The following is a 15,840-nucleotide window of genomic DNA, read 5'->3' on the forward strand; positions in this document are numbered from 1 at the left end:
GACTACAGTTGTATTTCTGTACACTAGCAATGAACAATACAAAAATGAAATTTGGCTGGGTACAGTGGCTCACACTTGTAATCCCAGCATTTTGGGGGGCTGAAGTGGGTGGATCATTTGAGGTCAGGCATTGACGACCAGCCTGGCCAACACAGTGAAACCCCATCTCTACTAAAAATACAAAAATTAGCCAGGCATGGTGGCACATGCCTGTAATCCCAGCTACTAGGGAGGCTGAGGCAGGAGAATCGCTTGAACCCAGGAGGCAGAGGTTGAGGTGAGCTGAGATCACGCCATTGCATTCCAGCCTGGGCAACAAGAGCGAAACTCTGTCTCAAAACAAACAGACAAACAAACAAACAAACAAACGCAATCTATATCAAAATTCCAACTGCCTTTTTTCACAGAAATTGACAAATGGAACCTAAAATTCACATGGAAATTTAAGGAGCCCAGAATAGTTAAAACAGTCTTGAATAAAAAAAAGGAGCCAAACTAAAGGACTTACATTGCCTGATTTTGTATCTTAGTAAGAAGTTACAGTGATCAACACTGTGTAGTAGTAGAATAAGGACAGATGTATAGCTCAATGGAACCAAATTGAGAATCCAGAAGTAAACCCATACATTTAGGGTCAATAGATTTTTGACAGGGATGCCAAGATAATTAAATGAAGGAAAAAATAGTATCTTTTCTTTTCTTTTTAATTTTTTGAGACAGGGTCTCACTCTGTTGCCCAGGCTGGAGTGCAGTGGTACAATCTTGGCTCACTGCAACCTCCGCCTCCCGGGTTCAAGCAATTCTCCCATCTCAGCCTCCTGAGTAGCTGGGACCTTAGGCATGCACCACCACACCCGGCTAATTGTTGTTGTTGTTGTTGTTTTCTAGAGACAGCATTTAGCCATGTTGCCCAGTCTGGTCTTGAACTCCTGAGCTCAAGCTATCTGCCTACCCTGGCCTCCTAAAGTGTTGGGATTACAAGCGTAAGCCACTGCAACTGGCCAAGAATAGTATTTTCAACAAATCGTGCTGAAACAACTGTTTAACCACATGCAAAAGAATGAATTTGGATCCTTACCTCTCATCATATACAAAAATAACTCCAAAGGGATCTAAGGCCTAAACTTAAGAGTTAAACCTCCCAGCACTTTGGGAGGCCGAGGTGGGCGGATCATCTGAGGTTGGGAGTTTGAGACCAGCCTGACCAACATGGAGAAACCCCGTCTCTATTAAAAATACAAAATTAGCTGGGCATGGCGGCGCATACCTGTAGTCCCAGCTACTCGGGAGGCTGAGGCAGGAGAATTGCTTGAACCCGGGATGCAGAGGTTGCGGTGAGCCAAGATTGTGCCATTGCACTCTAGCCTGGGCAACAAGAGTGAAACTCCATATCAGGGGGAAAAAAAAAAGAGTTAAACCAATTGGGTCAGGTGTGGTGGCTCATGCCTGTTAATCCCAGCTACTTGCAGGCTGTTGGCATGAAAACTGCTTGAACCCAAGAGGCGGAGGTTGTAGTGAGCCAGATTGTACCACTGCACTTCAGCCTGAGTGACAGAATGAGACCCTGTCTCAAAAAAAAAAAAAAAAAAAAAAAAAAAAAAAAAAGAGCTAAACCTATAAAACTCTTAGAAGAAAACATAAAATGTAAATCTTCAAGATACTGACTTAGGCAGTGTTTTCTTAGATCTCTAACATCAAGCATAGGCAACCAAAGAAAAGAAAACAGAAATTGGACACCGGCAAAGTTAAAAAACCTTTGTGTATCAAAGGACACTATCAAGAAAGTGATTTATCAGAATCATAGAAAATATTGCAAATCATATATTTGGTAAAGGTCTGGTATTCAGAATTCAGCTGGTATTTACTTATAGCTCAACAATAAAAAGACAGCTCAATTAAAAATAGGTAGAGGTTTTTGGGACATTTCCATGAAAAAAAGCAAAAAAAAAGAAAAAAGGAGGTGGGACAGAGGATTTATTTTTGTTTTTTTGTAAAGACAGGGTGTTGCTCTGTCACCCAGGCTGTAGTGCAGTGGTGCTGTCATAGCTTACTGTAACCTGAAACTCCTGGCCTCAAGCGATCCTCCCACCTTGGCCTCCCGAACTGCTGTACTGAGATTAGAGGCGTGAGCCACTGTGCCTTGCCTCTCTCTTTTTTTTTTTTTAAAGAGATGGCATCTTGCTCTGTCACCCAGGCCAGAGTGCAGTGGCATGATCATGGCTCACTGCAGCCTGCAACTCCTGGGCTCAGGTGATCCTTCTGCCTTAGCCTCCTAAACTGCTGGGACTACAGGTACATACCACCATGTTTGACTAATTTTTAAAATTTTTTTTGTATCAATGGGATCTCACTATGTTGCCCAGGCTGGTCTCAGATTCCTGGCCTCAAGCAATCTTCCTGCCTTGGCCTCCCATAGGTCTGGGATTACAGGCATAAGCCACCATTCCTGATCATAAAAATAGGCAAAGGATTTAAATGGACATTTCTACAAAGAAAATATATGAGCAGTGAGTAAGCGCATGAGAAGATGCTCAACATCATTAATCACTAGGAAATGCAAATCAAAACCACAATGAGATACCACTTCATATCCCCTAGAATAGCCATAATAAAAAGACTGTCAATAATAAATATTGTTGATGTGGAGAAATTGGAACACTTGTGCATTGCTAGTGGGAATGTAAAAAGGTGCAGGCACTGTGTAAAACAGGTTCAAATTTCTTCAAAAGTTAAACATAGAGTTATCATATGATCCAGCAATTCCACTCCTAGGTATGCACTCAAGAATGAAAAACATGCATGCACACTCAAAGCTTGTACATGAATGTTTATTATTTCTAATAGCCCTGACCATTCATAGCCTCAAAGTGGAAATTACTCAAATGTTCAAATGGATAAACAAGATGTGGCATATACATACAGTAGAATATTATTCATGCATATAAAAGAATGAAGTGGCCGGGCGCGGTGGCTCACACCTGTAATCCCAGCACTTTGGGAGGCCGAGGTGGGTGGATCACCTGAGGTCAGGAGTTCAAGACCAGCCTGGCTAACACGGTGAAACCCTATCTCTACTAAAAATACAAAAATTAGCCAGGCATGGTGGCACACGCCTGTAATCCCAGCTACTCGGGAGGCTGAGGCAGGAGAATTGCTTGAACCCGGGAGGCAGAGGTTGCAGTGAGCTGAGATCATGCCACTGCACTCCAGCCTGGGTGACAGAGCAAGACTGTAAAAAAAAAAAAAGAAGTACTAACTTATGCTATTACATGACGAACCTTGAAAACATGTTAAATAAAAGACATTAGATCCGTAAGGGCTATACAGTGTGATTCCATTTATATGAAATGTCAAGAAGAGGCACATTTGTAGAGATAGAAAGTAATAGTACTTGGCAGGGACTACGGAGGAAATAGGTAGTCACTACTAATGAGTAGGGCGTTTTTAGGGTGTTGACAACCTTGTGAATATGCTTGATGAGGCAGGAGAATAGGGTCTGGAGGCAGGGAACCTAAGGCCATTTCACATCACTTCTTAGAACCAAGTTGAAAAGAAAACTCATAACTTTCCACAGCCTAAGTAACAAAAGGACCAGAGGCTACTACTCCCTTTGCAAACCCCCCACCTTTTCTGCTGGGCAGTTGGGAAACTGGCTGCCTGAAACCAATCAGACTGTTTGCCGGCCGGTCTTCGTTTGCAACTTTCTAACTTTACCTTAGCCTCTGATTGGTTGCAAAAAGAGGAGAGTGAGCGTTGTACCCTCCACTTCAGTCTTTGATTGGTTGCTTTCCACAACCAATCAGACCGATTGAGAGCTACCACTTCATTTACATGAGGTGAGCAGGAAGTGGCCAATGGAAAACCTCTAGGGGGTACTTGGACCTGAGAAGATTCTGTATCCGGGCCCTTGAGTCGCTGCTTCTCCAGCTTCCACACTGTGGAGTGTACTTTCATTTTCAATAAATCCCTGCTTTCCTTCTTTTGTTACTTCATTCTTTCTTTGCTTTGCTGGGTGTTTTGTCCAATTCTTTGTTCAAAGCGCCAAGAACCTGGACAACTTGCAGTCAAGACCCTCTACCAGTAACACTAAAGACCTCTGAATTGTACACTTTATAATGGTGAACTTTATGGTATGTGAATTATCTCAATAAAAAACAAGAAACTTTTATAAATAAAACTTACAAGTTCTTTTGGACATCGTTATGTAAGCACATCCAGATTATTAAAAGTGGCTGTCCGCCGGGTGCGGTGGCTCACGCCTGTAATCCCAGCACTTTGGGAGGCCGAGGTAGGAGGATCGCAAGGTCAGGAGATCGAGACCATCCTGGCTAACACAATGAAACTCTGTCTCTACTAAAAATACAAAAAATTAGCTGGGCGTGGTGGTGCACGCCTGTAGTCCCAGATACTCGGGAGACTGAGGCAGGAGAATCACTTGAACCCGGGAGGTGGAGGTTGCAGTGAGCCGAGATCGAGTCACTGCACTCCAGCCTGGGCGACACAGTGAGACTCCATCTCAAAAAAAAAAAAAGATGGCTATGTCAAAAAGGGGACAGTCATCTTAAAGACGGCTTCTTAGCATTCCATCTCCCTTCTCTGATATACTTTTCCTGCTTGTGGATCCTTGTCTTTCTTTTCCTTTTTTTTTTTTTTTTGAGATGGAGTCTCGCTCTGTTGCTCAGGCTGTAGTGACCACTCATCATCATCACTTATGACCTCAAGTAATCCTCCCATCTCAGCCTCCCAAAGTGCTGGGATTACAGGCATGAGCCACTGCACCCAAGAGATCCTTGCCTTTCATCCTGGGCTCTCTGGCCCTCTCCTGGTTCTGCTCAGAGCATTGGCCAGTAAAATTCCAGCCCTACTTCTGCATTATTCTGAATCTGAAGCCAACTTTCTGATTTTCTATTAGGTTGGTGCAAAACTAATTGTTGGGCCAGACGCGGTGGCTCACGCCTGTAATCCCAGCATTTTGGAAGGCCCAGGCAGGTGGATCACCTGAGGTCAGGAGTTCCAGACCAGCCTGGCCAACATGGCGAAACCCAGTCTCTACTAAAAATACAAAGAAATCAGCTGGGCATGTTGGCACACATGCCTGTAATCCCAGCTATTCGGCAGGCTGCGGCAGGAGAACCCCTTGAACTGGGAGGCGGAGGTTGCAGTGAGCCGAGATCACACCACTGCACTCCAGCCTGGGCGACAGAGCGAGATTCTGTCTCAAAAAAAAAAAAAAAAAAAAAAAAAAAAAAAAATTGTGGTTTTTGCCTTTAAAAAAAATAGATATATGTATATTATATACAGCAGAAACTGCAATTACTTTTGCACCAACCTAATAGCATTGAGCCAGCTACCTCTCTTTGTTGTTGCTACAGAAAATCTTTTATGGTTGAAGCTAGGACAGTACAGGTTCAAATAAGGTTCTATCATCATTAATGAAGTACTTCCTCTAACTTTTTGGTTCTAAATGGTAGAGTAAGAGCTATTTGGTTATGTGAGTTCACAGTGCAATTACTGGTGTCCCACTAGCAAGCAATAATGTCAAAGAGAAAACAAAATGCACATTACATTCAACAGACAAACATGAAGCAAGTACAGGGAAAAGGGAGGAATCACATTCCTGTTTTAAGTTTCAGCTTTCTGTAACAGCTGTTCCTGATAATAAAGTATGTTGCTGAGATGGTGGTTTGTTTCCTGGAGTTTCTCTTAGGAATTTCTGACATTTCAGTAATAATTTCCAAATACACTTTAGGGTTTTCCATAGTCTATTTATTTTAAAGACTGGAAGTTAAATAAGAAGTAACTGGGAAGGGTATTGAACCAGAGACAGGATCAAACTTTCATTTTCCACAATAGGGAGAACTTTATTTAGAGAGGAGTGTGTGTCAAGTAATGGAGATCAGAGATAGAAAAGTAAGATGTGAAAGACCCAGAGGCGGTAATAAAAAGACGACCGATCAAGGACACAGGCAGACAAGGTACTGCAAAAAGAAGATACCTCCTCAGAGACAGGACTAGGGAGAAAGATAGGTGCTCAAATGTGGGTAAAGTGGCTCTGAAATGGGCAAGGAGGAGTGATAAGGAAGCCATAGGTGGCCGATATCAATACTAGTAGGTTCCCAGCTGTCTTCAGTTGGGATTTGACTGTATATGCTACATTGCAATGTCAAGTTACATCCTCTTAGAGTGTCCTTTCTCTTTGATATTCATTTAGACTTTTAGTACCCTAAAGAGCTCATGCAAACTCATTAAGAATCAAAATGACACAAGCATTAATCTCACCCAGAAGGGTCCCAACATTTAACTTCAATAGGATATTTTCGTTATTTTTTATAATTCCGCCTCTACTAAAGAATCACAGAATAGTACACCAATTCTATTTGTAAAAGAAAAGAACTGTTCTACATCTTCTGGTCTTATAATCTGAAAAAGAAATGGGCTGGCTGGGCACAGTGGCTCACGTTATTTGACTGATTCTCTTAAAGTGAAAATTTCAAATAAATTTAGCATTGTAACTAGCCATTTTCTTGCTAGCACCGACCAGCTTTTACTCCATTAGGTGAAATTCTTCAAAAGTTCTTTACCTAGTTAATATTTTCCATCAGAATCACAAATACTCTGCTAGTTTGTTGGTAAAAAAGCAAGTTCAGTGTGAATTTTACTGTATTTCAAGAGTAAATAAAAACTGTCAAATCATTTGTAGCTGAGAAGCCTACTCAGGGTTGGAAGGACCGGTTAGTCATTTGGTTTAATCCATTTTTTAAGGCGTGGATCAATGTGTGGATGTTTGGTCTCCCAAACATCCCCTATTCCTAATAATTCACTTCCAAGCTTGTTTATTATTAGAGAACTAAGCTTCCTCCATAGAATGAATGGAAAACTTTTGCCCTATGGCTTCTGTCCTCTGGTCTAGTTCTGTGCTCTTATGGGACCACACAGAACAAGTCCACAGCCTCTATAATGTGTTAGTTCTCCAGAGGCTAAATATAGAAATCAATAATAGTTTTCTAATATCTATATTTGTCTAGTTGGCAAATAGCCTTAAAAATTATTTTAGGGAAACTGATGCACTTGCAAATTTACTTTCTAGATAGCGGGAGAACAATTCATCTAGGCCTGGGTGATAAATTTTAACCGTCATGAACTGTTACAGACAATTTGTTCCATGTGCCACAAAATTTAAAATAAGCTAAGTTTGCAAACACATCATGCTAAATAATTCAAATTTAAATTTTTATTATGACAATTGACATATTAAGTGAAAGAAATGACAGAAGTATTATAATAAAACATTTTGAAAGAAAAAGTTACACAATTAGGCCAATAGCTATAAAATGGCTTTAGGCCTGGCTTATAACACCAAGAGTTCTGATCAGACTGTAGTGAGACACTGAACATTTCATTAACAAAAATACTGGCACCAGCCACAACATATTTTGGTTGTCACTTACAAGGAATATTGTATTTAAACAACTATGCACTGCAATTCTAACACACTAGGTGTTCATACACTGAAGTTAACCCCTGAAGCTTTAAGCTACCAAGAATTCCCATACTTTTAATGCACAATTTACTTTGCGTGTTATCAGAATTACATTTCCAGTTTTCTGATCTTCCCTGCCCCCCCACCCCCACACACATGCAGTACATTATGTGACAGAGAGCACTCCAGCTTCTATTTGACTAACAGCATGGTCCTGATTACCTCAAGAGTTAGTTTTATGCCAATCTTGGAGCTTCTGCTTTAAATCTCATCTCCTAGAAACCAAATAAAACATTCTGAGAACCTATTCCAGGAATATTTTTTTTAACGCATAGGAAAATAAAGCATTTCATATAAGCATGTTGGAAAATTCAAGAGGCATTCTGATCAGTCCCTGAATTCCAGCTATTACTTTAAATCAAAATTCTAAAGATACCATTTATAAATTTTTATGTGGAATTTGTATTCTTCATATGGAAACTCATGATCTGCAGGCTTCCCTTCTGAATGAGGATAGCAAAAAACTGACGCTGGCAACACATGAATATAGCTTTGATTGAAATTATGACACACTTAGATGAATTTAATTATTTTCAAGAATACACTTGTACTACAAAGGTGAGAAATTAGAATGGCAAAATTATCAGATGGGAAAAAGTACTGACATTTAAACGAAGCTGTGAATATACCATGGTAAAATGTGCCATGTAAAAGACTGTGCTAGAATCAGAAGTTCTACAAGATTTCAAAATACTTAGTGAATAAGGAAGGAACTGAAACTTGAATTTGACTTCTCTTGCTGCCACGCTTCAGCAGACAACTATTCCTGTGGAATTAAGTCCACTGAATAACCAAATAGACCAATTCTAGTTTTTTCCTTCTTTTATATGAATAGATTAAAATCAAGCCCTGCTCTACCACCATCTTAGCATAGGACATACCCTTTCAAAGTGTACACACAACCTCATGGCAGGTTTGGGCAAGCTACAACAGATACCATCTCAAGAAGCTACTTTGAAAGAGAATAGAACACCAGACTAACATTGAGAATACCCTAGTTAGGCATCACAAAAATCATGTGCTGTAAGAATATGCTGTTAACAGCCAAATCTGGGCTACTGTAGCTGTTCTGATCCTGAAAATCCATTTACTAATATAAGCTAGATGTGTGTGTGTGTGTGTGTGTGTGTGCAATTTTCATGCAGTGACCTTAAAGCTTTGGAGACAGGGCTTGTTACTCTAATTTCAAGGCTTGTCCACATAGCAGTTGACATGCACCAATTCTGCTAAAGGGCAGGAGAATGAAAAAGACATGGCACAAATTTTTAAACAATTTTAGGTTTAATTACATAATGCACCTGTAGATGATCTAGCATAAACACAATTGTAAAAAATCTACATCCTATTTTAGGGTATTTTCCCACCTCCCATCCCTTAAAAGCTGTACAGTTATTTTTTTTAAAAAAAGGTGACTCTCAAGCAAAATAAACTTTTTTTTTTTTTTTGCAACATACAAAATAAGTTAAATGATTCAGAAGGTTTTGAGCCATGAAGTTCCCCAATAACTATGTTCTGGCTGTTCATGAGCATGACGTGCAAGCTGCTGGTCTATGACCAGAACTCAATAAATACAGATCAAACAAAACCGCAAAACACTTAAATTAGATTTCTTTAGAAACTGATGAAAGTCAAGAAAATATATACTTAGGATTAACAATTCCATTCTTAACTTACATCATCCAGTGGCAAAAAGCACGAGGCAAGTATTCAGTCCTTAGCACACTTTCTAACTTGTACCGGTTTGGCCAAAAAAGGAAAAAACAAAATTCCTTTAAAAATGTTTTTTTCTCATTCAAAATATCCAAGAAATTTTATAAATTTCTACTCATCTATTGTTATGCCCTCTTATATAACTTATGTATAGGATAGTCATATTTTAAAGTTATTAAAATAAACATCTTCACTAACTGAAACCATTATGATGTGCCAGAATTGGGTTTACTGAATTTTCCAAAGTGGTATAAATATGAAAGGAAAAAAAAAATTGTGCTCAGGTGTCCAAAAGGAGGAAAAAAGGTCCACAAATTGGATCCTCTTCTAATCGACTTCCAGGAGGGTTTGCATGAATGAATACAAAAAGTGGTGAGTGTATACTCTAAAGTGGTTATATACTAAGCTCATTACATTTTGGCTTATGACTGCTTGCTTGGCAATTACTCTCTTCAACATATTACAGTTACTTAGCAATTCTTGGCACTCAAAAGATGTTAAAAGATAATTTAAGTTGGAGCAAAACATTTTGAAAACAAATTAGTGAACATATAGCAACTCAGTTTAAATACATTGATAGCAAAAGGCTTTGACCTTAAGGATTGGTATAAAAATGACACAAAAAAATCAGTTAACTTGCCACTTCCAAGGTAGGTTTACAGGCACACACTTTGGGAAAGGTAGATGATATAGGAATGGATTTTAATCTGAGAAGATTCAATAATGGATCATATTAAGCAGAAGAGGGCTAGGTAGATTACAGCAGATATGCAGCCTTGGCATTCTCTGCTTCTTCGAGAATGAGGAATATATTTTGAGAATGTCAAACATCAGGAGAAACTGTTGTCTAGATTTTCTGTAATTAAATGATGTTCATAATATTTGTATCTGTTGCAATGCAGCCATCTTATTTCTTTCAAGTTAATGATGGATTCATTTTTATTTTTTCTGATACTTATCTGAAGTGTGTGCGTGTGCACACACACACACACATATACACATGTACCATTTAACTCTGGGTCTTTGAATAGTTGTTCTATAGCTGTGAGGCATCACCTTGAATAACGGGCCTGTTCCACTGTACTGGTAAAGAGCGGAGTTCCTAGCTTTTTCTGAATATTAAACTTGTAGATTCATTAGGTTCTTTACAGTTGTGTGGTAGAATCAGCAAAGGGTTAACATCTCTTATGCCCACAAACAAGCTAAAAAAGCATTCCTTGTGACAAAGGACACCCCACCAGTCCCACTTAAAAACAGCTAACATTTCCTCATCATTTTGACTATTAAACAAGTAAATGTCCATGTTTTTCTTAATATGTGTACTTTGCTCAAATGTATATTATAGGATGGGTTTCATCAACTAAAAAGTAAAAACTGGGTACGTGTAACACCCTTTTAAAATTAATTTGTTTAAAAATTATTTTTCAAAAGCTTCATTAGCATTTAAAGTTTTTGGTTCTTGGGCAGGTCACTTTTATATATAGATTGCCAGTAGACATGAATTTATTCTAAATGAAACTACCCTTTATCCTCTGAATCTGTAACCTTGACCAATTGAAAAAAGGATGTCAAGGAAATATAACTTGATGTACATTCTTGAAAATATCTCTGCCATCATTTTGCAGTAATGTGCCAATGATGGAAAATGTTTTACACTAATTTCATCAGCACTGATGTACAAAACCAAAACGTTTTCAGTCTGCGTCCTTTTCACACATATTTCAGTTCAAAGCTTCTGCTGTGTGAAAAGCTGACTAGTTTTCAAACCTTTTCAGAAATTGCAAACTAAATATACTGAATATTAATCTACATCTCCCTTTAATACATTAGCTACAGTCTAGAGTTTGACACTGGGAGTCCAACTTGTATTTCAACAAGGGGGGTTTAAATTATTAAAGGGCTCTATTATGTAGCAGCTATTTTGAGTCTAAATCCATGGTTAGTGCTCTAAAAAAGATCCAAGACTGTCTAAACTCTACATCAATTACTGCTTTCCTATACTTTCTGCAGTTCGTAGTGACTGTATTGTCTTTGTATACAGAACATTTCGTTTTCTAAAATTTTTTAACTTCTTCAGAATACCTTCAGAGTGTATTTCAGTGATCATAAACTCTTTGAGGGACTGAATCTGAACTCCAAGCAGCAAAACCGTTTTTGCACTGCTCAAAATTTAATAATCAATAATCTATCTGCCTAATAATGTTTTATCAACCGCTTGGATTACATTCTTGGTAGATGACCTATAGTTAATTGATTTAATCAAAATATAAGGTGAGAAGGGGTACATTCACTATCAAGTTGACGAACACTTATTCAAGTTTGGTAAATATCAGGCAGCACAGCACAAGTGGTCTCCAAACCTAAATGGAATACTCAGTCTTTGAGATGGTAAGAATTACCTTAGGCTTTCTATAGTAGAAGAGTAAAAATAACTCCTTATTTCACATTAGGCATCCTGTTAAAATTATCTACCCATTTAATACTACTTCTGATCACTTGGCTTAACTGAGGAATAGAATAGGTGGAAGAAGGAGCTGGTGTGTCCAGAGGTAGAGACAGGGCACATGGGAGAGTTTCCACACAATAGTGGCTTTACCCAGCTGCAGGACTAAAACGGTAGTGAGACTGGGTGGCAGGAAAGGGCACTTGTATATTCAAACCACTTACCTTGCACTAGTAGAAATCTTTATATTGCTTGCCTGTTTTAGATGGTTTAAAAGGTTAATTCTTAGCTGACTTGCAAATAAATAAAACAAACCTAGCTGGAAAGGAGACTGTTAAGTAAATGTAGCTCCTTACACAGCCCTGCTTTACTGTCTGTGAATGTAAGCCCTTCCCTCCCTTCCAGTGGAACACTGTCTCAAAATAAAAATCACAACTTACTTGGAACCACATGCTATTGGTGCATCCTATTTTTAGGTTGCTTTCATTATTTTATTTTTTATACAGATACATACACATTGCTAGAATCAAAGCAAAAATATTAATGGGCAGGTACTACAGAACTAAAGTGAAACAAAACAAAACAACGAACAACTGAAAAACAATAGCTATAAACTTTCAAGGCCAAAAGATAAGATTTAAGGGCAATACCTGTTGAAGAAGGAAAAGGAGTATAAAGTTCCTAGAGAGGTATTTATAATGCAAATCTAATGCCAGCTTTTTAGTAATAAAAAAGAGAAGTGCTTTACTATACACTGACTAGCACATAATACTTAATTTGGAAAGAAAAATTAATGACGTTCCTTGGGCCAGCAGCAGATATGGTGTGTCCATTGCCGGCAACAGACACAACACCGGAACAGAAAAACCCAAATCCCAGGGCTAAAGTATTCACAGAAGTAATGGTTGAAGGTTTCAGGATTTAACAGGCTAGGTTTAATCACAAGTGCTACACTCTGTACAATGTTATGGCTCTGCCTGAAATTTTACAGCTATAACAGAAACTAAATAAGACAAAGTTCATATTTTAGTGTCAATTACATGTTAGGTATTTAGTTAGTTACAAACCCTTTTTTCTTGAAACAAAGGGCTTTTCTTTAAAGTGTTGAGATGTTTGAAATGGATGTCATGCCTATTAATTACATCGGCAGTTCTCATTCAACTCTATGTTGGTTGTATGACTATTAATGAATTTTAATAGAAGTCTAATGGCCAAAGGCCAAAACTACATTCAAACTCTGCTAATATATCCAGGCAGATAGGAAATTCCAACACACACACACACGCACACGCACACACACAAACACACACACACGCTAAAACTCAAACTAAAAACCTCCCAAAGGAACTGCTTTGTTTGTAGACTTCAATTTGAAGTAGATACTAAGGGCAAGAATAGACCAGTTAAAATTCACCTGAAAATCTCTTCCCAGTCTTCAAATGTGCTAAAATATCACTGTCAGCTTAGCATCTCTTCATGTATGTTATATATAGATGTATTTTTTTCAAAATGATATTTCAGATATTTAAACATCAAGTGGCCAGAAGACAAGAGTTATACTATTGGCAAAGTTTACAGTCCACCCAGGCCTTAAGAAAGACCACATTCATTTCACTAATAACTCTCCATCAGACACAATATATTTGAGGCCACCTTATTACCACTGCATAAAGCTTATTTAAAAAAATTTGTTGCTAGCACAGTCTGGTTGGCAAAGCTTCATTATACATTTTACTGTACAAATGCTTTTCAGATGATTTTATTTTTTTTTAAACAAGAAACTCTGCTATAACAAAAATTTAGGTTAATTATGATGGTACTTTCACTGTCTCTTCTTTATTAAGTGTGGTTATCTCCAATAGTAAACAAGTTCATTTCACAAAGGCTGTTACTAAATGACTTATGTATGATGTTATCTACAATTCTCAAACTGTAACAGTACAGACTTGAACTTTTAAATTGTCTGTAAATCATCATCTATGCCATGAATGTTTAAATATAATATATATTTAATATGAAAAAGCTAAAGCACAAGTGCTTTCACCCACCCCTAAATTCTGTTTTGGGCCCTCACAGATTCGGAATGCATTTTCATCCACCCTTTTTCACAAAGTCAGGAGAGCTCAGGAAATATAAAGTCAAAAATATACAAATCTTTGTTGTTATTATAATAAGATTTTTTTCCATGAATGAAATTACCAAGGACCATGAACCTGGAAAAAGAAAATCAAAAGGAATTTACAGCAATTATTTATCTTCAAAGTTCAGAACTGGTCACTTCACAGAAAGACTTCAGGATTTGTTGAAATTTTTCTTCTAAAAGTCATTCTGTAGTGGAGTTTTCTAGGAAAAATTAAACAGCTTTTAATAACTGGCCCGCTGGTGTGAGAGCTACCGTGGAATAAATTAGCACAAAAATGGAAAAAAAGTCTTATAACTGTTCACTGTTACAGACATAATCAACAAGGTCAGTCACTCTCAAAAGCTCATCTTCCTCCTCTTCTGGTGCTCCTGCCTCCTGCCCACCACTTGTCCCATTGGAGGCTAGGCTTGCACTGGCTGTGCTGTTGTCCTTGGGGGTCTGAGACTTCTCAGTAGGCTTGCCAATCAAGTTCTCAATGGCTTTGCCAGGGCTCTGTCCATTGGTTGAAGGTAAGTCCACTAAGCTATAGTCCAATGGGCTCCCCACTTTGCCTACATTTTCAAAGTCCTCTTCCTCATCACTTTCTATCCGGTAGGGCTTCTTGGTGCTCTCTTGTTCTGAGGGCAGGACCCTAGGCTGGCTGTCACGGGCAGGCTGATTTGCATCTCCATGAGCATTGTCACAACTCTCCTCCTCATCCGTCTCAATCCGGTGTAGCCGTTTGCGGGATGGTTTGCCTTCCTCTTCCTCCTCCTCCTCATCTGCTTCTGAATACTCGTCTGTGCTTCGGCCCCGCTTTCGAACTGACCGCTTTGATTCTTTAGCTAGCTCATCATCTTCAGAGTTCTTGGACAAATAGCTCTCTAGAATAAACAGCACATTTAAGCCATTGGCACGGTTAACCATAAACGAATTTAATTCTCCTTTTCCTCCCGATATTCACCCCACGTCCTGCTTTCAGAATTGCTTGTACCTAAATGTTTCCTTTCAATAATTGGCCTGATTTCTCTCTTCTCAGTCCCATAACAATGCCCAATATGATTCATGGTGTACTTTATTTATGATTTTAGACAATATTTTCTTTTTTTTTATTGAGACAGAGTCTCGCACTGTTGCCCTGGCTAGAATACAATGGTGTGATCTTGGCTCACTGCAACCTCCGCCTCCTGGGTTCAAGCGATTCTCCTGCCTCAGCCTCCCGAGTAGCTGGGATTACAGGCGCCAGCCACCACGCCTGGCTAACTTTTTGTATTTTTAGTAGAGACGGGGTTTCACTATGTTGGCCAAGCTGGTCTCGAACTCCTGACCTTGTGATCCATCTGCCTTGGCCTCCCAAAGTGCTGGGATTACAGGCATGAGCCACTGTGCCTGACCTTCTTTATTTTTTGAGATAGAGTCTCACTCTGTCTCCCAGGCTGGAGTATCATGGCGCAAACTAGGCTCACTGCAACCTCTGCCTTCCAGATTCAAGCAATTCTCCTGTCTCAGCCTCCCAAGTAGCTGGGATTACAGGTGTGTGTGCCGCCACACCCAGCTAATTTCTTTGCATTTTTAGTAGAGACGGGGTTTCACCATGTTGGCCAGACTGATCTCGAACTCCTGGCCTCAAGTGATCTGCCCATCTTGGCCTCCCAAAGTGCTGGGATTATAGGCGTAAGCCACTGTGCCCAGCCAACAGCAGATTTCTTGGGGGAAGATGTCTGATAATGCTTGAATTAAATGAAGATAGGTTAGTTCAAACTAACAAACTCCTTCCCACTAGTACACAAATTAGGTTATCATGTCAACACGCTGATAAGGAAAGATTCAAACTGGACACCCAACTCTGTACCTCTTAAACACTGTGCCAACTCTCATCTTAGTTATTAGACGCCCTTGGTAGTCTTAATTGTCTTCTCTTCTTTGTCTATATAGTTGGGCCCCCCTATCCATTAATTTAACCAACTGCAGATGGAAAATATTCAGGAAAAAAATAGATGGTAATGTCTGAACATACATAGACTT

At 39.0% G+C, this 15,840-nt stretch overlaps 1 protein-coding gene across 3 annotated transcripts in view, besides 1 other annotated feature; it reads right to left on the reverse strand.

The window, feature by feature from the left end:
* Positions 1,979 to 2,179: a silencer, noted in NCBI's record as "peak1363 fragment used in MPRA reporter construct". NCBI's record gives its function as "represses an SCP1 promoter by STARR-seq MPRAs in K562 erythroleukemia cells {active_cell/tissue: K562}" and the evidence as "EXISTENCE:reporter gene assay evidence [ECO:0000049][PMID:32103011]".
* RSF1 (remodeling and spacing factor 1) overlaps positions 7,217 to 15,840 on the reverse strand; it is a 212,224-nt gene continuing 203,600 nt past the window's right edge. For all 3 annotated transcript variants that reach the window (XM_017017923.2, XM_005274051.3, NM_016578.4), the window contains exon 16: positions 7,217 to 14,699. In XM_017017923.2, coding sequence (XP_016873412.1) covers positions 14,125 to 14,699 — 575 coding nt within the window. In that variant the 3' untranslated portion in view covers positions 7,217 to 14,124. The remainder of the gene's footprint in view (positions 14,700 to 15,840) is intronic.

This window comes from Homo sapiens, chromosome 11 (assembly GCF_000001405.40).
Source record: "Homo sapiens chromosome 11, GRCh38.p14 Primary Assembly".
Taxonomy (NCBI): domain Eukaryota; kingdom Metazoa; phylum Chordata; class Mammalia; order Primates; family Hominidae; genus Homo; species Homo sapiens.